Here is a 21,287-nt window from a genome sequence, read left to right on the forward strand (position 1 = left end):
CAGCGGGGCACCCTCCTCCCGGAGCCCCCGCCTCTGGGCTGAGGCTCGGATCCCCACCGCCTCCTGCGCATGGAGGAGGCGAGAAGCGCAGGGAGACGGGGGCCCCAGACGGCACCCCGCAGGCTGCCATTCCTTCAACCAAGATGTAGAGAACGCCGTGGACAAAAGCTTTAAAAAAATTCTGAAACCTCTGCCCGTGGGAAGTCAACATTTTTGCGGAGCAGAGAGCCCAGGCACAAAATAAGAAGGCGGAAGAGACGGGCTGGGGGGATAGGGGGGACGGCGGCGGGGAAGGGCAGGGAGGGCGGCGGCGAAGGCGCAGGAAGCCCTGAAGCCGGGCGGCTTCCCCCTCCCAGGCCACGCTGAGAGACGGGGGTTGGGGGGATTTAAAATCGCGCGCCTGGCAGGGGCGGGGCGGGGGCCACCTGCCCTCCGGCGGGAAGAGCTGGGCAGGGCCCGCGGAGTGCAGGGCGGAGGCACTGGCGGTCCGCACCCGGGTGAGGTGAGGCGCGTAACCGCATCTGAGCCGGACTCTTTAGGACGAGTCCCGTCCCTGGAGTCAGAAAACCCGGTCCAGCGCCAGCGTGGACGTGCGCTTCCCGGGACACGCCCAGGGACGCCGGCTAGGACCGGCGAGGCTGGAGGGGTGGCGATGTTGGGGGCTGAGGTTCCTCGCCCCGGGGCGGGCGGCTGCTGGTAAGGGACCGCATGGCCCCGCAGGTGAGGAGGGCGCAGGTGAGGAGGGCGCAGGTGAGCCGGGCGGGCTGCGGGCAGCGCCACCTCCTCCCGGAGGCCCTCCCTGATTGACCGGCCGGGAACCGCGCGCCTCTGGGCCTGCGGCTGAGGTCCGGGGCTGCGCCGCGCCGATGAGCTGACGCCGGGCCGAGCGCTCCACCCCCAGGGCCGGGCGCACCTGAATCCCCTCCACCCGCGGGACTGCGGAGAGGGGGACGGCCCCCGGATACCGCGTGGGGGCTTTGGGAGGATGGGGAATGGGTCCTGGGGGAGCAGAGCCTCCCAAATTAAGGCCTCCCAAGAGCGCGGCCGGTCATCCGCGGCGGCGAAGGGAAGGTGCCCTGTCGGTGCGTCCGGACCCCGCAGCCCCCCAGTGCCGCCCGGGGGCGGTGGGAGAGGGGCCGACACCGCAGGGCCCGCCGTGCTGTGGCCGAGGGGGCAGGTCCAGGCTCTGCTTCCCGGGCAGACGCCGGAGACCCCAGCAAGCCAAGTGCTGCGGGCAGCCCCCCCCCCGCCCCCCCGAGAGAGGGGACGCCGCGTGGAGGCCACAGCCAGGCAGGGGCAGGAAGGCAGCTGGGCCAGAAGGGGACACTGAGGCAGGCCGAGGCGGCCGCGGGGGAGGGTGCCAGGACCAGCCCAGGAACCTCGGAGACCACGGTAAGCGGTGGCTGGTTCAGATCCCAACTCCGGAGCTGTGTGACCCCAGAAAGTTCCTTAGCCCCTTGGTGCCTGCATCCCCTGACGTGTGACATATACATGAATGGGGCTGTTGTAAGTGAACGCACACAGCACACCGGCACATGTGTCACAACACTTAGATGGGTTTAGATGAAGAAACAGGGAAACCTTTGGGAAGTTTCCTGTAGTCAAAGGAAGGTTTTCGTTTTCCCCCTCAACCGTGACTGTTTCTTGGGCCGGCAGGATAGGCTTTTGTTCTAGGGGTGTGGAGAGAGGGCCCCTTGGCAGCGTCCAGGGCCAACTGGGAACCAAGCAGGAATCGTATTTGTGCAGCCTGGAGTTCGAGGCTCTGGGTGCGAGTCGTAGTGCTTAAGCAGGAAGCAGCTGCCTGATGCCCCTAGCCCCAGGCCGCCCTGCTCTGCCGTTTCGAGGGCGTGGGGGTCTTCTGATCTCCACCTTGATGCACCTCCAGGCCCGGGTCCTTTTGGGGTCTGGCACAGCAACCTGCGTTTGACAGCATGGGCGTCCGCTGATGCTGAGAGCTCAACTTCTGGTCCAAGGAAGATCTTTTCTCTTCGGGGAACAGTCATACATTGTTTAACGAAAAGGATACATTCCTTCTGAGAAATGCGTCCTTAGGTGATTTTGTCCTTGTGTGAACACAGAGTGCACACACTGGCCCTGGTGGCACAGCCTGCTACACGCCGAGGCTGTGTGTCACAGCCTGCTGCTCCAGGGCCACGAGCCTACGCGGCAGGTGACTGTGCTGAATAGCGTAGGCAGCTGTGACTCACTGGTATTTGTGTATCTAAAGCCATCTAAACATAGAACAGGTGCAGTAAAAATACCGCGCTGTGATATGGGAGCACTGTGGCATTGCTTGTTGACCGAAGGTTATGTGGTGCATGACTGTATGTTCGTTTCCTGTGGGCGCTGGAACTAACGACCTCACGCTTGCTGGCTCAAAACAACAGCAGTCTATTCTCTCTCAGCCCTGGAGAGCGGAAGCCTGCCTGGTGGAGGCGCTAGGGGAGTATCCTACCTGCCTCTCCCAGCTCTGGGTGGCCCAGGCATCCCTGTGCTTAGCTCCAGCAGCCGCCTCAGTGGCCATGTGGCTTCTCTGTGTGGTCAAGCCTCACTTTGCCCCTCTCTTATGAGGACCTTTGGGATGACACGTAGAACCCACCTGGATGATCCAGGGAGGCCTTCCACCTCAATTTAATCCCGTCAGCAAAGTCCTTCCTTTGCCACATGAGGTAACATTCACAGGATCCGGGAATGGGGACATGGGCATCCTTTGGAGGGTGGTTCAGCTGAGCATGGGATCATGATACAGGTCCTGTGTATAAAATTCAAATACTTGGCAGGTCGGGCACAGTGGCTCACACCTGTAATTCCAACACTTAGGGAGGCCAAGGTGGGAGGATCACTTGAGCCCAGGAGTTTGAGACCAGCCTGGGCAACAGAGCAAGACCCCATCTCTACAAATAATTTTTAAAAATTAGCAGCGCATGGTAGCATGCACCTGTAGTCCCAGCTACTCCAGAGGCTGAGGCTGGAGGATCTCTTGAGCCCAGGAGACGGAGGCTGCAGTGAGCTATGGTTGTGCCACTGCACTCCAGCCTGGGGGACTAGCTAGACCCTGTCTCAAAAAATAAAAATTTAAAATAAAATACATAGAGAATCTCAAGGTGGTGTGGACAGTTCTGAGTGTTGGGGAGAGAACAAAAGAAGGAAAGTGCATTTTGGGTGGCAGAAAGCCCCTAACAGAGCCTTGGGCCCCTGCTTTGAAGCAGCCCTCACAGAAACTGACCACGAGTTATGTTGGGCCCATGACACTGGTTCCCTGGGTGGACACAGCCTGAGCCCAGCCCGCCCTGTCTGGAGCTCTCACCACCCTGCCTGGCCCGTGCCCATGGGCTCACAATGGCTTCAACCCCATTTATGTGTCAGCTCAAGCAGGCCTCCCCAGAGGGCTCATTTGCACTTGGATGCCCTCACCTGTGCTCCCTCTGTGGCTTCAGGAACCCCGGGGTCATTACAGAGCTTGCTAAATTCATCCCTGGACGTGAGATGTGTGTCGTAAGCATCCAGGACTGTCCCAAGATGGGAGAGGCGTTCAGTCATGTTCACTCAAGTGAAGGCTTCTATTCTACTTCCAGATACACCTTTTTAACCTTCAAAGGGTCCAATTTTAACCTTTCTTCCACAAAGCATTTTACGTACCACTAATAGTCCCAGTGCAGACCCCAAAGTTCCCCTGTAAGATTCATTTCCTGTGATTCGAGCACAGCCTGAGGCAGAGCTTTCTGCTGGGTTTATCCTCACTGAGACTCAGACTGCAGAGGGCCAGGAGGAGCCCTGCTTTTTGCAAGCAATACCACCTGGGGTAGGACCCACAAGTGACATCCTTTGTGCGTGGATCTGGCCTTGGCCTCCGCACCGTCTGTTCAGCAAGTCCCTCCTTTGCCTGCCAAGGCTGAGGTCCTGTACTTTTGTGTGTGGATCTGGCCTTGGCCTCCGCACCGTCTGTTCAGCAGGTCCCTCCTTTGTCTGCCAAGGCTGAGGTCCTGTACTTTTGCAAAGGTCCAGGCTGTTTGGTGCAGCTACAATCAGGGTGCGTGGTTTCTCTATGAACGCAAACAGCGGTCTCAAGGGGAAGGCCCCGGCAGAAAGTGCATCATGCGGGACACGGTGCAGGCGCTCCGAAGACGCCTCCTGCTCACTTCTGGCCTCCACCCCCTGCCCTGCAGGGTGACAGATGGCTGTGCCTACACATAAAACACCAGACGTGACCAATAACTATCTTATAATAAATATACTCGAACTTCTCAACTAGAACACAGAAATGCTTTCAGGAAGTACATCGCGCACCACCACGTGTGGTCCTGTGTGCAGCGGCGTGGGCCTCGCCCCGTCCCATGAGCCAGCGTGATGGGGGAGAGACCCTGAGTCTCCAGAACCCAACGGAACGTGGGTCTGCAGTGACGACGGAGACGCAAAAAAACAAGAATCCGAAGAGGAAAGAGACAACGTGAGGAAAGTTGCCTTTGTTCTAGGAAAAGTCTTTTTCTTCACAGTATAGTGACTCATTTATAAAGAGGAAGTGAGTTCTGTTGAAAAATACTTGAAATATTCTCTTAGGGGGAGAAAGCAGTTCTTCACCAGCTTGGTGGGCCACTTGGCCGCGAGCTTCGAGCTCTGCTTGTTCTGGGCCAGCAGGGACAATTCTTCTTCCGAAACCAGAGCCCAGTGCCTGCTGCTGAGAGGAGGGGAGGGAAGGTTGTGAGCAAGCGCAGCGCCCACTGGGTGGCCCCGGAGATGGGGCTGGGAAGGAATCGCTGCGAGGGGGCGAGGGGAACAGCCTGCCTCTCAGTTGTCCCAGGTGCCTAAGACCCCCCCCCCGGAACCCCCGCCTGATTCTGGGAGTTTTTCTCATGGAGGTGGAGTGAGCAACAGGGGACCAGATGACTCCCTTGCCTCCCGCCTCCCCCGGCCGGGGGCTGGTCCCCTGGGAAGCAGGCTGGGGGTCACTCCGTGTGAACAGCGAGCTCCAGGGCCATCGCTAGAGGATGTCACCATCCCTGGGCAGCACCCCCGCAGAGGAAAGGACAGGACTCTGGGCAAAAGTTGGCCAAACCCTCGCAGAGTCAGCGAGCATTCCCAGGGAATTCTATCACAAAGGCCGTCCCCTGGGTTCCTGGGGCTGCCTGTGCCGGGAGCCCCAGCCCTGGGTGCAGGAGGGCAGGTGGTGAGAGGAAAGGTCCCCTGCCAGCCTGCTGTGAGGAGCCCTTGAGGAAGACGGGCTTTGCAGACTTGGCACCAACACCCCCTCTCCTGCTCCCAGCCACCCCACTGGAGGCCAGGAACATTTCTCAGTTTATTTTGGGGTGAAGACTGCGAGTGAAGTGCCAGATACAGTGTCCCCCTCCTCCTCCTCCTCCTCAGGCACCCTCCCTAGGGCAGTGGGGACTGTCCTTAACCATCCTGGGGGTGATGGTGGCTACCTCTGCAAAAGGATTTCTCCTTTCAGTGAGTGGGTGTCTCTCATGTCACTGTTGAGACACCCAGGAGCCTGGGAGGGAAACCTGTGGGAAGGAACTGCCAGCCTCCTTCTGGGAACCAGGTGACCCCAGGATCACGGCTCAGGTGGATCCAGCCCTCGAAACCCTGTGAGGAGCTCTGTGGAGCCTCGCTCAGAAAGGGGGGCTGGGAAGAAGCAGCTGCCAGCCCACAGCCCAAGCCTGCAGGGGCCACAAGTGTGGCCACTGGAGCAGAGGGAGGTGCCTTTTGTGGAGCAGCAACCCTGGGTCTGGCTGCACCTGCCACTTAAGAACCCTGATGGGGCGCTGTTCTCACTGCTGTGTGGACGCATAGAGCCTCCGGGGGCCAAGGAGCCTCTGGGGCCAGGCAGCAGGTGAGGCATGGCCTGTAATGCACACAGGTGTTGCTGGGTCTGCCCCCACCTTCACCCCCGCTCACCCAGCCCCACAGAGCCTGGCATGGCCTCCCAGGAAGTGACATGGCGGGGAACAGGCTTAGGGTTAGGGGGAGGCTGTGCGAAGGCTGGCATGCAGGTGAGAGGGCTTCTGAAGAGAAAGCATGCTGGAAAAGTGCTTCGGCTCAGCCCCACCCAAACTCAAATCCAGGGGAAGCCAGGCCAGCAAGACCTGCAGGTGCCATGCCTTGGCAGGTGCCAGGCAACAGGATCGTGCCTCGGTGGTGACGTGGGAGATGCTGGAACCGGGGAGGTGAGAGGGAGTAAGTTTCCAGAACTCACTCTCAGGCAGGAGGAGATCATGACTCAGCTGAGCCAGAAAGCGCTCGTTCCACACGAATGCACGTATGAGCGAGGCACGCCAGGCGAGTGTGGGAGTGAGGGGATGGATGGGCGGTTGGCTGGAGGTCGTGAGGTCTGGGCCGCCTGGAAAGGCTGTTGAGGGGCGGGGGCAGCTGGGAGAGGCTGTGGGGGCAGCAGAAGGGGGTGCTTAGCCGCAGAGAGGGCACGTGGGGAAAGGCCATGTGTTCAAGGCCCCAAAAGGTGGGGAGGGCAGCCCAGGAGTGCACCGCAGGGGGTGCAAGCGTGTGGGTGGGTGAGACTGATGCGTGTGTGCCTGTGTGATTGTGAGCACATGTGAACGTGTGGATGCAGGTGGTAGTCGTGAGTGTGCTTGTGTGAGCATGTGACTGAGGGAGCATGTGGGTGTGTGGATGAGCGTGACTGTGGGGATGACTGTGTGTGCATGCATGAGCACACAGGTGTGTGGATGAGCGTGACCGTGGGAATGACTGTGTGTGTGTGCATACATGAGCACACAGGCGTATGGATGAGCGTGCAAGTGAGTCATGTGAGTGTGGCTGAGTGTGAGCACGCATGAGCTTGTGGGTGTGCAAGGGAGGTGGGGAGGCCACACGGAATGAAAGCCTGGGGGCTGCAGCCGATTCAGGGCCAGGCCGCCATGGCGCATATGGGTGTCCAGGGGCTGGACCCCGAGAAGCTGAGAGCCAGTGCTGGAGAAGCTCCCCAAGGGGAAAGGGGCATCCTCAGGCTTCGGTGTCTTCAGGGTCTCAGGGTGGCCCCGAAGGCCGACCGCAGTCCCACTGGGGCGCAGAGGCTGCTCTGGGCTTGGCTCTGCTAGACAGACCCCATTTCCTCAGTGAACCCCGCTTCTGGGTCCATGTTCCCCTTGACCCTGAACGCTTTCAGCTGCCCAGGAAATACCTCCTTATGGCTGGGATGTTGCTCCACACGCGGACAGCATTCTGCAAGGATCCGCCGTGGACATCTGGGATGGTGACTGGCTCCATCTGGGGGCGGGAGGGTCGGCCGTGGGTCAGGGGACCTGGACGGTAAGCGCCCCCCACAGGCCCACTGGCCTCAGCCGCCAATGGCCCTGAGTGGTCAATGGACTTTCTAGCCCGACTGTGTTCCCTACGTCCTTTTTTCTTATGAATCACCTTTGGAGAAAAATGCTGATGAATTATTTTAAACTGACAGAACAGACTCTGTGGCAATAAGATATCAAATTACAAACAGGACCTCAGGCCGCGCCAGGCAAGGGTCGAGCCGAGCCGCGTGCCCTACACTGAGAGGACGGACTCTGCCCTCACGCCACAGCTGCTGCTTTTTCTGCAGCGGCTAAACACGCACTGGCCCCGCGATGAGGATGAGCAAGGTTCAAATGACTGCAGCTCATCCACCTGCAGATGCCAACTGACCACGTTCCACAGCCATGACCACAGCTCTGACTGGGCAGGAGACTGACTTCAGGAACCTCCTCCTGATAAGGGACCCCGACCACAGACTGGCTCCGGCCGGTTTACAGAGGTTGTGCGCTTGAGGGCCTGTGTCCTGAGAAGACCTCTGAGGTTTAGGGCCTCATTGCGACACACTGACATGATAAGACTCCACCCCGGAGTGAACAGAGGTCGTAAGTTCCACGGATTTTGTTCAGTACGCACGCAGCAGGACCCCCTTCATGAATATTCACCGCTCCTCCATAACCTGCCGCACAGGTTTAGCCAACCCGGTCAGCACGGAGCTCCTGCCCCAGCCACCCCTCCCCTTCGAAGTGCCTCCTCCTGGCTCCTCTGGTCTTGGTGGAGGCCCCGTGCTTCCCAGCCTGGGGGACGGGACCTTGCAGGCTGTGCCCCTTTACAGAAACAAAGTCTCCTGTTCTAAAAGCACAGACTTTGTGATTTTCAGCTCATGGCGTTTGCTCCCCTTCTGAATAGCTGGATTTGCATTCCAGCCACTCCACGAGATTCCAGCACCAAAGGAACCTCAACGCCACCTGGACCCCCAGCAAAGGCTCTGGCCCACAGGTGCTGCCCACTCGGTGGGTCGGGCCCCCGCTGGCTGTGGCCCCTCCATGGAACCTGAGAGCATGAGGAAATTCCCCCTCCTGAGCCTCACGCCTGTCTCCTGTGGCTGAGGTGTGGCCGTCCCTCCCCAACCCTGGAAGTGTCTGGAACACCCGGCCCATCAGCCCCAGAGGGGACCCATCCGCTGAGTCCAAAAGTGGCTGCTCTGACAATCAGGATTCAGACGTGTGAAGAAAAGGCTGTATGTGTGTGGTGTGAGTATGTGTGCACGTAGTGTGCCTGTGTGTGTGTGGCAAGTGTGTCCCTGTGTGTGGTGCATGTGTACAGTGACTGTGCACTGCAGTGTGTGTGCACCTGTGTGTGTGGTGTGATGTGCGTGTGTGTGGGTGGAGACTGAGGGGGCAGGGGCAGGAGGTGAGCCCCCGAGGCCGTGTTCTGTGAGCACAGGAGTGGTGCGAGGTGGGACTGCCCTCCCATGCTGTCCTTGAAGGGGCTTTGTGTCCCAGGCCGCAGTCCCTGCCCGGACTGCACAGCAGCTCTCCTGGGCCCTGTACACACCTGGAAACCAGGGGCCGCAAGGAGCCAGGCCCGGAGCCTGGGGTGTAGACTGAGCTCCACCAGAAAAGCCCCTCCCTCACGTGGGCAGGGGTCAGAGGGCGGCCCACGCAGCCCTGCACGCACCTCCAGGAAGCGAGATGCGACGTCCAGGTCTTCCTTGTTCAGCACCAGATTGTCCACGAACATCCAGAAGAAGGGCCTGGGGCTGCCTGGCTTGGGCCGTGCGTACTGCAGGAGCCGGTGGAACTGGAACAGGTACCAGCCTGGAGTGGGGTGAGGGGGCAGGGCTGAGGGGGGGCCGGGGGGGCTGGTCATGGGGACGCTGTTCAGGTGCATCTGGGCAGGGGCCTAAGGAAACTGGGGCTTGAGAGAAGGGCTGAGGGGGTCGAGGGGACGCACCGGCCTGGGTCTGAGGGATCCCCCTGCCCCTGTCCCTCCAGCAGCAATGAAGCCCTGCCCAGTGCTGGGGCCACAGAGGTGCATGGACCCCTCCTCCCCCAGGCAGGCCTAGAGTGGGGAAGAGACAGACAGGCAACCCCGAGGGAGGAGCTGACGCAGAGCGCGTGCCGCGGCACAAATACCGCCTTTTAGAGGAAGCTCCAGAGGACACGTGAGCTGCAGTGATGTGGGCACGCTGGGGGCTGCATGGGGTCAGCGGGAGGCTTGGGGGCACAGGGAAGCCTGCAGTGATGGGGACTCTTACTCTGTTGCTCTCTTACTCTGATGAGGGGTGCATGGGTGTGGAGCTAGCTCAGAACTCATCCAGTCGGACACACTGAATGCGTGCAACTTACTGTATGTCAGTGGTGCCTCGATAAAGCTGTTTTTGAAAAATGCTGACAATTTGCAGTTTCTGCCCTGGCATGGAGGTGTGAGGAGAGAGGAGAGGAGACAGGGGTGGTGGGGACAGGCTGCCAGAACTGAAGCATCACTCACTGGGAGGACGGTCACAGGTGTGGCCCAGGGGAGGTGTGGCGCCGTACACAAGATCGAAGGGTCCCCACTCCTCCACCTGCAGGACAGAGGGGAGTGGGCACTGAGAGGCAGCAGCAGTGGGCAAGGTCGCGTGCGGCAGCACGAGATGACCCCAGGGCAGACCCTGCTCAGCTCGCAGGGCCCACAGGCCAGGGCAAGCTGAGGAGTGGAGCCCACTAGGGCAGAGCCATCCACAGCCACCACCAGCCTCAGGGGCTGCCTGCCTGGAGCCCAGAGGAGAAAGCTCCGGGTCTGAGGTGAAGACTCTGTGCCATGCATTTGGGGACTGAATTCTGCCTTTATTTTTTCTTGCTCAAATTCCTTTCTAAGGAGCGTAGGGGAATCACGCCTTACAAACCACAAAAGCTTGTGGAATGGGTGTTTTTGACCTGGTATATTGTGACTCTGCCATGGCACCACATGACAGACAGCAGACCTCCTTATTTTAACTCAAGCATTCCTTTCTACTGACTCCCAGTTTTTAGGCAAAGCTCAACTCTTTCAACCAACTGCCAACTAAAGAATCCCTAAACCCACCTATAACCTGTAAGCTTCAAGATATCTCGCCTTTTGGGGCTGATCCAATGCACATCTTCTATGTATTGATTTATTGATTGATTGATTTTTTGAGATGGGGTCTCACTCTGTCACCCAGGCTGTAGTGCAATGGCGAGATCTCGGCTCACTGCAACCTCTACCTCCTGGGCTCAAGCAATCCTCCTGCCTCAGCCCCCTGAGCAACCCCAGGTGCACATCACCATGACTAGCCAACTTTTTTGTATTTTTGGTAGAGATGGGGTTTCACCAAGTTGCTCAAACTGGTCTTGAACTCCTCAGCTCAAAGTGCTGGGATTACAGGCGTGAGCCACCGCGCCCGGCCCGTGTACTGTTTTCTGATTCCACCTGCAGTTCGCATCTCCCTGAAATGTACAAAACCAATTGTGCTGGGAGTGGTGGCTCACGCCTGTAATCCCAGCACTTTGGGAGGCAGAGGCGGGCGGATCACGAGGTCAGGAGATTGAGACCATCCTGGCTAACACGGTGAAACCCCGTCTCTACTAAAAATATAAAAAAATTAGCCAGGCATGGTGGCGGGCGCCTGTAGTCCCAGCTACTCGGGAGGCTGAGGCAGGAGAATGGCAGGAACGCGGGAGGCGGAGCTTGCGGTGAGCCGAGATCACGCCACTGCACTCCAGCCTGGGCGACAGAGCAAGCCTCCGTCTCAAAAACAAATAAATAAATAAATAAAATAAAAATAAATAAATACATAAAACCAAATTGTAACTGACCGCCTCAGGTGCACTTCCTCGGGATCTCTTAAGACTGTATTTCCCAGGCCATGGTCACTCTTATTGGCTCAGAATAAACCTATTTAAAAACTTTGGCAGAATTTGGTTTTTCTGTCTGTCCTCACATTGCCCTTAGAGAACCAGTCCTGGGAGGCCCAACATGCAGACTACCTAGGGAAGTAACTGTCATCTGTGAACACAGCAGGTGCCGTCCGCAGCCCTCCAGGAGCTAACAGCAAGGGCAGAGCCTTCCCTGCTGAACAGAAACAGCCCCCACAGAGTAGCTCCCTGGGGACCACAGAGTAGGTCCCCACAGGCTATTCCATGGCCGAGCTGGAAGAAGACAAAACACAGCCACCCAACAATCTTGCCTGAACACATGCCCTTCAGTCACAAAAAGTGACCAAGGGGAGGCTGTGAGCAACACTGGCTTCATTAACAGTGATGGCCCTCACTCTGTCATTCTTATTAAATAAAAATTAACAGCTGGACGTGGTGGCTAACACCTGTAATCCCAGCACTTTAGGAGGCCAAGGCGGGTGGATCACCTGAGATCAGGAGTTCAAGACCAGCCTGGCCAATATGGTGAAACCCCGTCTCTACTAAAAAATACAAAAAATTAGCTGGGCATGGTGGCGGGTGCCTGTAATACCAGCTGCTTGGGAGGCTGAGGCAGGAGACTCGCCTGAACCCTGGAGGCGGAGGTTGCAGTGAGCCCAGATTGTGCCACTACACTCTAGCCTGGGCAACAGAGTGAGACTCCATCTCAAAAACAAAAAACAAAAAAGCCCCCCAAAACTTAAGATAGTCAAGTATCAGAACCCCGTCTCCTGATAGCACCAGTCAACAATGGACTCCACTTCCCTGGACCCCCTCAAATCACATAACAGCCCGAATCCCATTAGCCCCAAACTCCTCATGCCTCCGGGGCATCATTTTGTGTCCTTCCACGATGTAGCAAGTGGATAAACCTAACTGTTGATGGCAGGTGCAACCTGAGGGTCTCCGAGTGCCGAAAAGGCATGGTGGGGTGGGGACAGCGGAGGTGAGGGGGGGCTGCTGGTCCCAGGCCGGGAGCCCCCAAAAGACCTGTACACAGGTGGCTGCTCATGCTTCTCTCACAGTGGCATGGGAAGGCACCAAGGCAGCGGGGAATCTGGCCTACAGGGGGAACGCACGACTGGAGCTGTGTCACCTCCTTCCAGCAGCGGGAGGATGCTTTCAAACAGTGACCAGTTGTCCAGGTCAAGGCTCGGCCTCCTCATTTTAGAGGGTGGAGTGGGGGTTCAGCCCCTCCTTGCCGGACAGCGCCCCATCACAGGCAGTGGAATTTGGCTACTTAGATTTCAAGATGTTGGACAAGATGTTTGCCCAACTGCCCTGCTCTGAGCTCTGGGCTCTGGGCTCTGGGCAATGCTGGGACCACCAAAACGTGCTGCTCAGCCCTCCGCTGCGGGGCATCACAGTGGTGGCTGGGCCGGCGGGGTTGGGCTGACTCCTGTCAGACCCAGGATCCCCACCAGGCTGCCGAGAGGCCCCCGTGTGTTCAGGACTCCTCCCAGCCCCTGCTGCCGCCTCCTTGCCCGCCTCATCCTTGGCATTTCCTCTGAGGAAGCTCGCACCCCCGCTCCCACTACAGTGTCTGAGAGTTCACGGCGGTACTCACATCCTTCCTCACTGTGTCTGTGACATCAACCACATGCTTCAGTTGTCCCGGGTCAGAACCACTTTCCAAAAAGCCCAAACTCGTCAGCTCTGGATGGGGAGAGACCAGAAGGGCCCAGAGGGTGAGCGTGGATTGTGCCCCTACAGGGACTCGAAAAGGCTGACGGACGATCAGAGGACCCTCCTACCATTAAGGAGCCAACTGTATATTTTTGTTGTTGTTGTTTTGAGATGGAGTCTCCCTCTGTCGCCCAGGCTGGAGCGCAGTGGCGTGATCTTGGCTCACTGCAACCTCCGCCTCCCAGGTTCAAGCGGTTCCCCTGCCTCAACCTCCCGAGTAGCTGGGACTACAGGCATGTGCCACCACGCCCGGCTAATTTTTTTGTATTTTTAGTAGACACAGGGTTTCACCATGTTGGCCAGGCTGGTCTCCAACTCCTGACCTCAAATGTTCCGCCCACTTCAGCCTCCCAAATTGTTGGGATTACACGTGTGAGCCACTGCACCCCGCCCAACTTTATCTTTTTAATGACGTGGCAGGAGGATTAAGGATGGAGGTTTTTGTCTCACAACAAGCTAAACAAGCAAACATTGCCAAGTATTGATTTAAGAATGTCAAGCACGGCCGGGCACAGACGCTCAAGCCTGTAATTCCAGCATTTTGGGAGTCCAAGGCGGATGGATCACCTGAGGTCAGGAGTTCAAGACCAGCCTGGCCAACATGGTGAAACCCTGTCTCTACTAAAAACACAAAAATTAGCTGGGCGTGGTGGTGAGCACCTGTAATCCCAGCTGCTCGGGAGGCTGAGGCAGGAGAATTGGTTGAACCCGGGGGGCAGAGGTGCAGCGAGCCGAGATCAAGCCTGGGCAACAGAGCGAGACTCCGCCTCAAAAAAAAAAAGGATGTCAAGGACTGTATTACAGCACCAGGCATTTCTGGGATGCGATGTCACCTCTGGCTAGGAAATCCACAGAGCAGTGGAGTCCACTCCACTCTGCAGCTGGTGTGAGCTGCAGAGCCCTGGAACGGCCCTGGAGGAGGCCCTGGCTTTCTCAGCCCCTCCTGGGCAGCAAGACCTTGGACAGGCTGTGCAGGCGCTGCGGGATCAGGCTCCTGATCGGCTGCATGGGGCAGATATGTGCTCCCGCATGAGGCCGCTCTGAGACACTTGTGGGCCTTAGTGGGTGTCCCAGCGGGACACATCCCTAACGGCCAGAGGAGAGGGAGTGTCTTCATGGATTTGGCTGTGCCTGCGGGGCCCAGAAGACAAGTGCCATTTCCAAAGGCCCCAGTGCAGGGTTAGCATGGGCCCAGGGTGGGGAAGGGTACAGGACATCAGCAGTTGGCCGGTCTAGGGGAGGGGGTGGGGAGTCCCGGGGGGTGGCCTGAGGGGCAGTCAGGTGTTTAGAGGCATCTTTCCATGTGTGTCTTTGGGACATCACTGACTCACCTTTCTTGATGTCTTCAAAAAGGGACAGCACCCGGACTGGCTGTCTCCTCCACACAGGCACGGTTTCGAACATCTCAAGGGGATTCTCCTATTTATTAAAAAACCAAAACAGGACATTGTGCCGGCTACTTGGCTACAGAGCCCTTGAGTTACAATGAAAATTCTTCCCTGGATGAACACTCACTCGAGACTCACCGGAGACACACATAAGACACACCTGCTGAGGCTGACTGGGCCTGTCCTGACCAGCACTGCCCCCCCAGGAAGGCCAACTCCACCCCCTGCTCCAGCCTCAGTCTCCCGCTCTGACCTGTCTCCAGCCGAGAGACAGTAGGTGTGGAGGGGTTTGCTGATTTTTTTTTTTTTTTTTTTTTTGAGATGGAGTCTTGCTCTGTCACCCAGGCTGGAGTGCAATGGTGCAATCTTGGCTCACTGCAACTTTCCGCCTCCCGGGTTCAAGCGATTCTCCTGCTTCACCCTCCCGAGTAGCTGGGATCACAGGCACCCGCCACCACGCCCGGCTAATTTTTGTATTTTTAGTAGAGACAGTTTCACCATATTGGCCAGGCTGGTCTTGCTCATCCTGGCAGCTTCCAGAACCTCGGAGAAGAGAGCCCCAAGGCCAGAGATGCCGGGGAGAGGTGAGCCTCGGGGCAGGTGAGGCCTGTGGTTTTCCCTGACCCTGCCAACCTGATGGGCTAGGCGGGCAGCCAGCTCCAGCCTCACATGCTCCCTGTTAAAGGGCCAACCCCCAAGGCCCAAAACTCGGGGGCCTCGGCTTTCAGAGTGCTAGGCTCTGTTCCTATAAAATACCTTCCCATCTGACCCTTTCCTTCGAATTGGAGCAGGCTGAAGCTTGCTAGGCAGGGAGAGATGACTTCGTTCAACCTTAACAAATGTGAGCTGGAGGCCAGTGCAGTTTCATGGTCAGCTCAGGGGTCCCTTGCTCCCCGCTGGCTGCCTCACCGGGGGCCACACCCCTTCTGTAGGAGCTTCCCGTGGCTGGCCTGCAAATTAAAACAGACTGGAGGGGCTGGGCCCGGTGGCTCATGCCTGTCATCCCAGCATTTTGGGAGGCTGAGGCAGGTGGATCACTTGAGGTCAGGAGTTCAAGACCAGCCTGGCCAACATGGTGAAACCCTGTCTCTACTAAAAGTACAGAATTAGCCGGGTGTGGCGGTCGGTGCCTGTAATCCCAGGTACTCAGGAGGCAGGAAGGAGAATCGCTTGAACCCGGGAGGCCGAGGTTGCAGTGAGCCAAGAGGGTGCCATTGCACTCCAGCCTGGGCAGCAAGAGCAAAACTCCATCTCAAAAATAAAAAAATAAAAAACAAGGCCGGTGCGGTGGCTCACGCCTGTAATCCCAGCACTTTGGGAGGCCGAGGCGGGCGGATCACGAGGTCAGGAGATCGAGACCATCCCGGCTAAAACTGTGAAACCCCGTCTCTACTAAAAATACAAAAAATTAGCCGGGCGTAGTGGCGGGCGCCTGTAGTCCCAGCTACTTGGGAGGCTGAGGCAGGAGAATGGCGTGAACCTGGGAGGCGGAGCTTGCAGTGAGCCGAGATCCCGCCACTGCACTCCAGCCTGGGCGACAGAGCGAGACTCCGTCTCAAAAAAAAAAAAAAAATAAATAAATAAATAAATAAATAAATAAAAAACAGACCAGGGGACTTGGCACAGCAGAAATTATTCTTTCACAGCTCAGGAGGCCAGAGGTTTTGAAGTGAAGGTGTGCCGGCAGGCGTGCCTCCCTCAGAAGGCGCCAGGCAAGGACGTGCCAGGCCTCTCCCCCAGCTCCTGGGGCTGCTGGCACCCATGGCTGGTGGACACCTCACTCCAGTCTCTGCCTCCATCATCATGTGACTGTCTTCTCCGTCTCCATTTCCCAAATCTCTTACAGTGACACTAGTCGCTGCATTGAGGGCCCACCCTAAATCTGGAATGATCTCATCTCGTGATCCTTAACTAAATTACATCTGCAAAAACCCTGTTTCCAAATAAGATCACATTCACAGGTAAGGGATGGAGACTTGGATGTCCCTCTCAGAGGGACAAAATTCCACCTTCTCTGCCTTTGTCTGAGGTTCCTGCCGGCCCCCCTGGCTCCTCGGCTGGACTCCCAAAACGGCCCACACCTGGCCAGCAGAAGCCCAGGCACTTGCTCCTGAGGACTGGACTTTGAGACGTGCCAGCCACCCTCTCCCGGCCCCTCTCCCATCTGCTACCAGGGCCTCGTTCCTAGGCTTGGAAGCAACAAAACTGCCAAAGCAGTTTACCCAAAGCCACCATCGAGTGGAAGCCACTATCGGAGAGGAACCCAGGAAAGAGTGTTTGCTCCCGAGGCTGCAGCCGTGGTGCCCGTCGGCGCGCCTGCATTCTGCAGCGGGAACCGAGGGAAGGCCGTAAGTCAGGGCCTGCTGCTGCCGGGTGCTGCCCCTCCACGGGCTCCTTACCGACTCTCGGTCGTAGAAGGCCTTGAGCTGGCTGCGCCACTTCCTCCGACGCTGCAGCAGCCCGCTTCGGGAGGACGGCAGGCACAGGTAGCACACCCAGTTGCTCATGGCGTGCACCTTCCCCGAGGTCCCGGGGCCGACCAGGCTATCCACACACTCGAAGCAGTAGCATCTAAGGCCAGACAGAAAACCACAGCAGCGGACATGACAGCCCACCTCTCCTGAGGATGGCAGAGGTGGGCCTGATTGAGCCTTGTTTTGGAGGGAAAAGTCACGCTGGAGCTCCCTTTGGGAAGACCAGGTGGTGGACTGGGAAGAGGGAGACGGTCCTTCCTAGAGACGCAGAGTGACAGGAGCCGAGCCAGGTGCAGAAGACAGGGAGGTGGATTCACAGGCAATGACAGATCCAAGGAACCCCCTAAGCCACCTGTCTGCCCCCAAACTCGAGCCTGCAGAAACAGCGTAGGGACTCCCAGCAAAACCAAATGTAGCAACAGCAGCTGGGGGAGAGAACTTGAGGAGTGGGGAGCTGTAAATACGAGGATGGCCCAGAAGGACCGAGGAGAGGAGCCCACGGAGGGAGCCGAGGCGAGGGAGTAACGACTGAGGGGTGAGCATACCCCTTGTCACCCCGGTCATGACTGGCAGCCTGGGGTGTGGGGTTTCCATCGCTCCCCTGCACAGCGATGTGGCAATATCAACACCGAAAAGAAAAATCACAATCGCCAACCGTAGACACCCGCCTCCCATAGCTCAGGGCTCTATGCCAAATGACGCATTGGAGACAGAAATCAGAAGCTCTCAGGGAAATCATCCATTTGGGAAGAAAATCCACCCACACTCCAGAATGAGTAGCTGAAAGGATGGGTGTGTCCTCAGCCCCTTCACCCCCCTGGGCAGGCCCCTCGCCTCACCGGGTGCAATCAGGGTTTCCGCAGATGAGCAGCGTCTCTCCGGAGCAGCAGATGGAGCAGTAGGATTGGTACCCGTCATCGTCGTACAGGAAGAGGGCATCCAGGAACTTGTCCTTGGAAGGAGCAAAGCAAGGCTGGCTTGTGTCATCCCTGCTCTGAGGCCATGAGGGAGTCACCCCCAGCCTCCCTGCCTACCTTACATGGGGCGCAGATCCCTCCCTCAAACAGAGGGTGCTGTGTGTGAACCTGGAGACTTCCGCAGCAGATGCAGATGTCTAAAGGAAACATTCAAAGCACACTGTGTTTTCCCAGTGCTGTCAAATACAGCAGACGATTAGGAATAAATTTAGCCAAACAAATATGAGACTTATACACTGAAAACTGCAAAGTATTGTTGGAAGATGTTAAGGAAGATGGAACAAAATGGAAAGATATCCCATGTTCATGGATCAGAAGATTTAACATTGGCTGGGTGTGGTGGCTCATGCCTGTAATTCCAGCACTTTAGGAGGCTGAGCAGGAGAATCACTTGAACCTGGTAGACAGAGGTTGCTATGAGCCAAGATCATGCCTCTGCACTCCAGCCTGGGGGACAGAGTGAGAGTGTGTCTCAAAAAAAAAAAAAAAAAAAAAAAGAAGAAGACTTAATATTGTTAAAATAGCATGAGTCCCCAAATGGAGCTGCAGAGCCCTCTCAAAATCCCAGCTGGCTTTTGGGCAGGAGTTGACAGGCTGATCCTAAATTCATACGGAAATGCAAAGGATCCAGAAAAGGCAAACCCACGTTGAGAGAAAGTCGAGGAGTGGTTGCCTAGAGTTAAAAGAAGGGAAGCAAGAAGGGGGAATTTGGAGTGACTGTTACTAGACATGGGTTTTCTTTTCAGGGTGATGAAAACCTTCTAAAATTAGATGGTGATGATGGTTGCTGACTCTGTAAATAAACTAAAATACATTAAACTATATGCTTTAAATGAAGCTACAGGGGCCTTGGGAGGGGGAGAAGGGATACACGTGGCACAGTGGTGTCCACTGCCTCCTTCCAGGATCTCACCGTCACCCAGGCTGGAGTGCAGTGGTGTTATCATAGCTCACTGCAGCCTCGACCTCCCCAGCTCAAGCAATCCTCCCAACTCAGCCTCCTGAGTAGCTGGGACTACAGGTGCATGCCACCATGCCTGGTTAATTTTTATTTTTATTTTTTTGTAGAGACAGAGTCTCACTATGTTGCCTAGGCTGGTCTCAAACTCCTGGGCTCAAATGATCCTCCCACATTGGTCTCCCAAAGTGCTGGGATTATAGGTGTGAGCCACTGTGCCCCGTCTCTTTTGTCTGGTGTGGGCCAGTATGCAAACACTCACCTTCTATATTTCGCTGGTTAGCCTTGACTTCATATGCAATAAGATCTGGAAAGGAAGATAAGAAGTAGCCCCTTTCTTCTTCCTCTGATCTCTTAATTTAAATTCGGCCAGGAAGTGAGCATCACAATTCGTTTTCCAAAGTCACAGGAGCCTGAGGTCCCCTGCCATCCCGCCCTCACACCTTATCTTGGTGTGTTAAACGCCCATACCTGGGGGAAGACTGTGGGTGGGGAACCTCCTGCCCCAGCCCGGGTGCCTGAATAATGCATGAATACTCCAGAAGCCTGGAACTCCAGACCTCATCCAGGCCTGGGATCAGCATCCTAAGTGACTGGTCCAATAAGCAGATGAGCCCTCACCTCTGCCTGTCCCGGGTGAAACGGAGCTTGAGAGCTCACTGGATCCCACCAAAATCACGTCCATGCTGGGCTCGGCCTCTGGGTCCAGGGCTGGGATGGCCGCCATGGGGATGCTGTGTCAGGACACACGGACACAGATGTGAGAAAGCCGTCAGCCCCTGCTCAGATCCCTGATGCACCCCAGCACGGGAAGCAGCTTGCTGAGCAGACCTTGACTAGTTCAGGCCACCTGAACCCCCGCGGTGACACCCACCTGCCCAACCCAGGGATGAGGGGCAGGACAGCCAAGGCCAGTGCCAGCCCTGAGAGGGGCTCAAGGGTCCCCTGAGGCGTGCCCCCCACCTGCCTGGCCCTGTTACAACATGGAAGATGGGGCAAAAAGGGGAGGGCAGGGCCCTCATGAGGACCTGGGGCCAATGGCCGCTGCAGCCCCTGCTTTCCTCTGGGCCCAGCCTTCGACCCCTCAGGGACTCCCATGCCCCAGCCTCCTACAGTGTCCCTCAGGCCCAGCAGGGACCCCTGGGGATGGTCTTGGCCAGCCGCACCCTTGAAGGCAGCATGGTCAGGGAGTAGGAAAGAGACTCACAGGGCTGCTGCCACGGCTCCGGGTACAGCCAGCTGGTGGGTTCAAGGTTCCAGTGGTCCGGGGCTTCCAGGCTCAGGGTCCCCGGGGAGGACTGGGCCATGGAACGAGGGACGGCGCAGGCAAAGAATGAGCTGGAAGGATCCAGGCCCACCTGGGACAGCGGGTGGCCAGAGGTCACCAGGCTATGGGGGCAAAGAATCTGGGCGTGTCCCGCGGGGGCGGGGAGGGGCGGGGGCGGGGCAGCCCTTCAGTGCCGGTTTGCAGTGGGAGGGGCGAGGAGCTGCGGGGGGTCACTTGGGGTGGGGAGCTAGGAAGCTGGGGGACGGGCAGGGAAAGGGAACCCTCAGGTGGGGAGGGTTAAGAGCTCAGTGGGGCTGGGGGATTGGGGTTCAGAGGATGGGGCCCTCAGGGTGGAGTGAGGGGTGGGGTTTGGGGACCTCAGTGGGGAGTGGGGTTCAGGGGAGGGGTGGAGATGGGAGGACTGGGGATGGGGCAGATGAGGGGGGTTTCAGTAGAGGGGGGCCCTTGGGGTGGGGTGGGGGATAGGGGTGGCTGTGGGGTAGGGGCAGGGCGCTCAGAGGTGGGGTTTAGGAAGGTCATAGGGGTGGGCTTCAGGGCAAGGGTGAAGAAAGGGATGAGGGTGGAGGGTGGAGGGGTGGAGGGGTGGAGGGTGGAGGGTGGAGGGTGGAGGTAGGGCAGGGCGGGGGGTTAGGTGGAGTTGGCCCCCTGGGTGGAGATGGGTGAGGATTAGTGGAGGTGGCCCTCAGGGCAGGGTGGGTGGGTGGAGGGCGGGGCTTAGGGAGATCTGTTGGGGGATTAGGGAGTGGGGGTGGGGGTGGATGCTGAGTTGGAGATGGGGGCCTTCAGGGGAGGTGGTCCTTTGGCGGGATGGGGGTGATGATAGGGTGAGGGTGGGCACTCCGGGGCAGGGCTCAGTGGCGGGGGTCGGGGCTCAGGGCAAGGGTAGAGACGGGGTGAAAGTAGGAATGGGGGTGTGAGGCCGAGGATGGGGGTTTCAGGGGAGGTGGCCTTTAGGGCAGGATAGGGGTGAGAATGGGGTGGGGATGGGCCTCAGGGATCTCAGGGTCGGTTGGGATGGGAGTGGGGGTGGGGGTAGATGGTGAGGAGGAGATGGGGGTGTTCAGGGGAGGTGGTCCTCTGGCGGGATAGAGGGAGGGGCGTTCAGGAGCCGGGCTTGGGAGCTCAGTCTGGAGCCCCAGGTTTGGGGGGCAGCTGTGGGGGAGAGAAGGAAACAGGGAAGGCCCTGGAGGATGGGGTAAGGGGTGTTGGGTGGGGAATGTCAGGGCAGGTGGGGGGTTGGGGAGCTGGGAGGGGTAGGTTCAGGGTGGGGGTGGAACGTGGAAGCAGGGAAGGGAGCAGGAAGGTGGGGTGGGCAGAGGGGCAGTGTGGGAGGTGCGGGGTGGGTTGGGAAGGGGGA

General features: G+C 58.0%; 1 protein-coding gene and 1 long non-coding RNA gene across 3 annotated transcripts, besides 8 other annotated features; one reads left to right on the forward strand and one right to left on the reverse strand.

The window, feature by feature from the left end:
- Window positions 813-1,351: an enhancer, noted in NCBI's record as "H3K27ac-H3K4me1 hESC enhancer chr21:45662586-45663124 (GRCh37/hg19 assembly coordinates)". NCBI's record gives its function as "activates a minimal SCP1, AML or CMV promoter by ChIP-STARR-seq in naive H9 embryonic stem cells {active_cell/tissue: H9 hESC(naive)}" and the evidence as "EXISTENCE:reporter gene assay evidence [ECO:0000049][PMID:30033119]".
- On the reverse strand, window positions 4,449-20,007 carry DNMT3L (DNA methyltransferase 3 like). 2 transcript variants are annotated; one of them, NM_175867.3, is made up of 12 exons: window positions 19,850-20,007; window positions 19,264-19,376; window positions 18,905-18,949; window positions 17,742-17,821; window positions 17,547-17,659; window positions 16,633-16,804; window positions 14,177-14,264; window positions 12,727-12,815; window positions 9,733-9,808; window positions 8,920-9,059; window positions 7,136-7,221; window positions 4,449-4,672 (listed from the first exon to the last, which is right to left on the reverse strand). In NM_175867.3, exons 2-12 carry the CDS (start codon window positions 19,367-19,369, stop codon window positions 4,507-4,509), a joined length of 1,161 nt encoding a protein of 386 aa, NP_787063.1. In that variant the 5' UTR covers window positions 19,370-19,376; window positions 19,850-20,007; the 3' UTR covers window positions 4,449-4,506. The 2 variants fall into 2 exon arrangements, with proteins under 2 accessions (NP_787063.1, NP_037501.2); NM_013369.4 differs by having other exon boundaries at window positions 4,449-4,675.
- Window positions 5,644-6,585: an enhancer, noted in NCBI's record as "H3K4me1 hESC enhancer chr21:45667417-45668358 (GRCh37/hg19 assembly coordinates)". NCBI's record gives its function as "activates a minimal SCP1, AML or CMV promoter by ChIP-STARR-seq in primed H9 embryonic stem cells {active_cell/tissue: H9 hESC(primed)}" and the evidence as "EXISTENCE:reporter gene assay evidence [ECO:0000049][PMID:30033119]".
- Window positions 7,485-8,000: an enhancer, noted in NCBI's record as "H3K4me1 hESC enhancer chr21:45669258-45669773 (GRCh37/hg19 assembly coordinates)". NCBI's record gives its function as "activates a minimal SCP1, AML or CMV promoter by ChIP-STARR-seq in primed H9 embryonic stem cells {active_cell/tissue: H9 hESC(primed)}" and the evidence as "EXISTENCE:reporter gene assay evidence [ECO:0000049][PMID:30033119]".
- Window positions 8,001-8,517: an enhancer, noted in NCBI's record as "H3K4me1 hESC enhancer chr21:45669774-45670290 (GRCh37/hg19 assembly coordinates)". NCBI's record gives its function as "activates a minimal SCP1, AML or CMV promoter by ChIP-STARR-seq in primed H9 embryonic stem cells {active_cell/tissue: H9 hESC(primed)}" and the evidence as "EXISTENCE:reporter gene assay evidence [ECO:0000049][PMID:30033119]".
- Window positions 8,518-9,032: an enhancer, noted in NCBI's record as "H3K4me1 hESC enhancer chr21:45670291-45670805 (GRCh37/hg19 assembly coordinates)". NCBI's record gives its function as "activates a minimal SCP1, AML or CMV promoter by ChIP-STARR-seq in naive H9 embryonic stem cells {active_cell/tissue: H9 hESC(naive)}" and the evidence as "EXISTENCE:reporter gene assay evidence [ECO:0000049][PMID:30033119]".
- On the forward strand, window positions 8,923-9,631 carry DNMT3L-AS1 (DNMT3L antisense RNA 1). The gene is made up of 2 exons (NR_135514.1): window positions 8,923-9,051; window positions 9,237-9,631. It is a non-coding gene; the product is annotated as a DNMT3L antisense RNA 1 (long non-coding RNA).
- Window positions 14,228-15,216: an enhancer, noted in NCBI's record as "H3K4me1 hESC enhancer chr21:45676001-45676989 (GRCh37/hg19 assembly coordinates)". NCBI's record gives its function as "activates a minimal SCP1, AML or CMV promoter by ChIP-STARR-seq in naive H9 embryonic stem cells {active_cell/tissue: H9 hESC(naive)}" and the evidence as "EXISTENCE:reporter gene assay evidence [ECO:0000049][PMID:30033119]".
- Window positions 16,111-16,611: an enhancer, noted in NCBI's record as "H3K27ac hESC enhancer chr21:45677884-45678384 (GRCh37/hg19 assembly coordinates)". NCBI's record gives its function as "activates a minimal SCP1, AML or CMV promoter by ChIP-STARR-seq in primed H9 embryonic stem cells {active_cell/tissue: H9 hESC(primed)}" and the evidence as "EXISTENCE:reporter gene assay evidence [ECO:0000049][PMID:30033119]".
- Window positions 19,722-20,281: an enhancer, noted in NCBI's record as "H3K27ac-H3K4me1 hESC enhancer chr21:45681495-45682054 (GRCh37/hg19 assembly coordinates)". NCBI's record gives its function as "activates a minimal SCP1, AML or CMV promoter by ChIP-STARR-seq in naive H9 embryonic stem cells {active_cell/tissue: H9 hESC(naive)}" and the evidence as "EXISTENCE:reporter gene assay evidence [ECO:0000049][PMID:30033119]".

This window comes from Homo sapiens, chromosome 21 (genome assembly GCF_000001405.40).
Source record: "Homo sapiens chromosome 21, GRCh38.p14 Primary Assembly".
Classification (NCBI taxonomy): domain Eukaryota; kingdom Metazoa; phylum Chordata; class Mammalia; order Primates; family Hominidae; genus Homo; species Homo sapiens.

Excerpts from the sequence above, each read along its gene's own strand:
- DNMT3L (NM_013369.4), bottom strand. The coding sequence starts at position 19,369 with ATGGCGGCCATCCCAGCCCTGGACCCAGAGGCCGAGCCCAGCATGGAC. Across the intron at positions 17,822-18,904 it reads TAACCAGCGAAATATAGAAG|ACATCTGCATCTGCTGCGGA; the intron begins GTGAGTGTTTGC and ends TGTTTCCTTTAG. Across the intron at positions 17,660-17,741 it reads GGATCTGCGCCCCATGTAAG|GACAAGTTCCTGGATGCCCT; the intron begins GTAGGCAGGGAG and ends GCTCCTTCCAAG.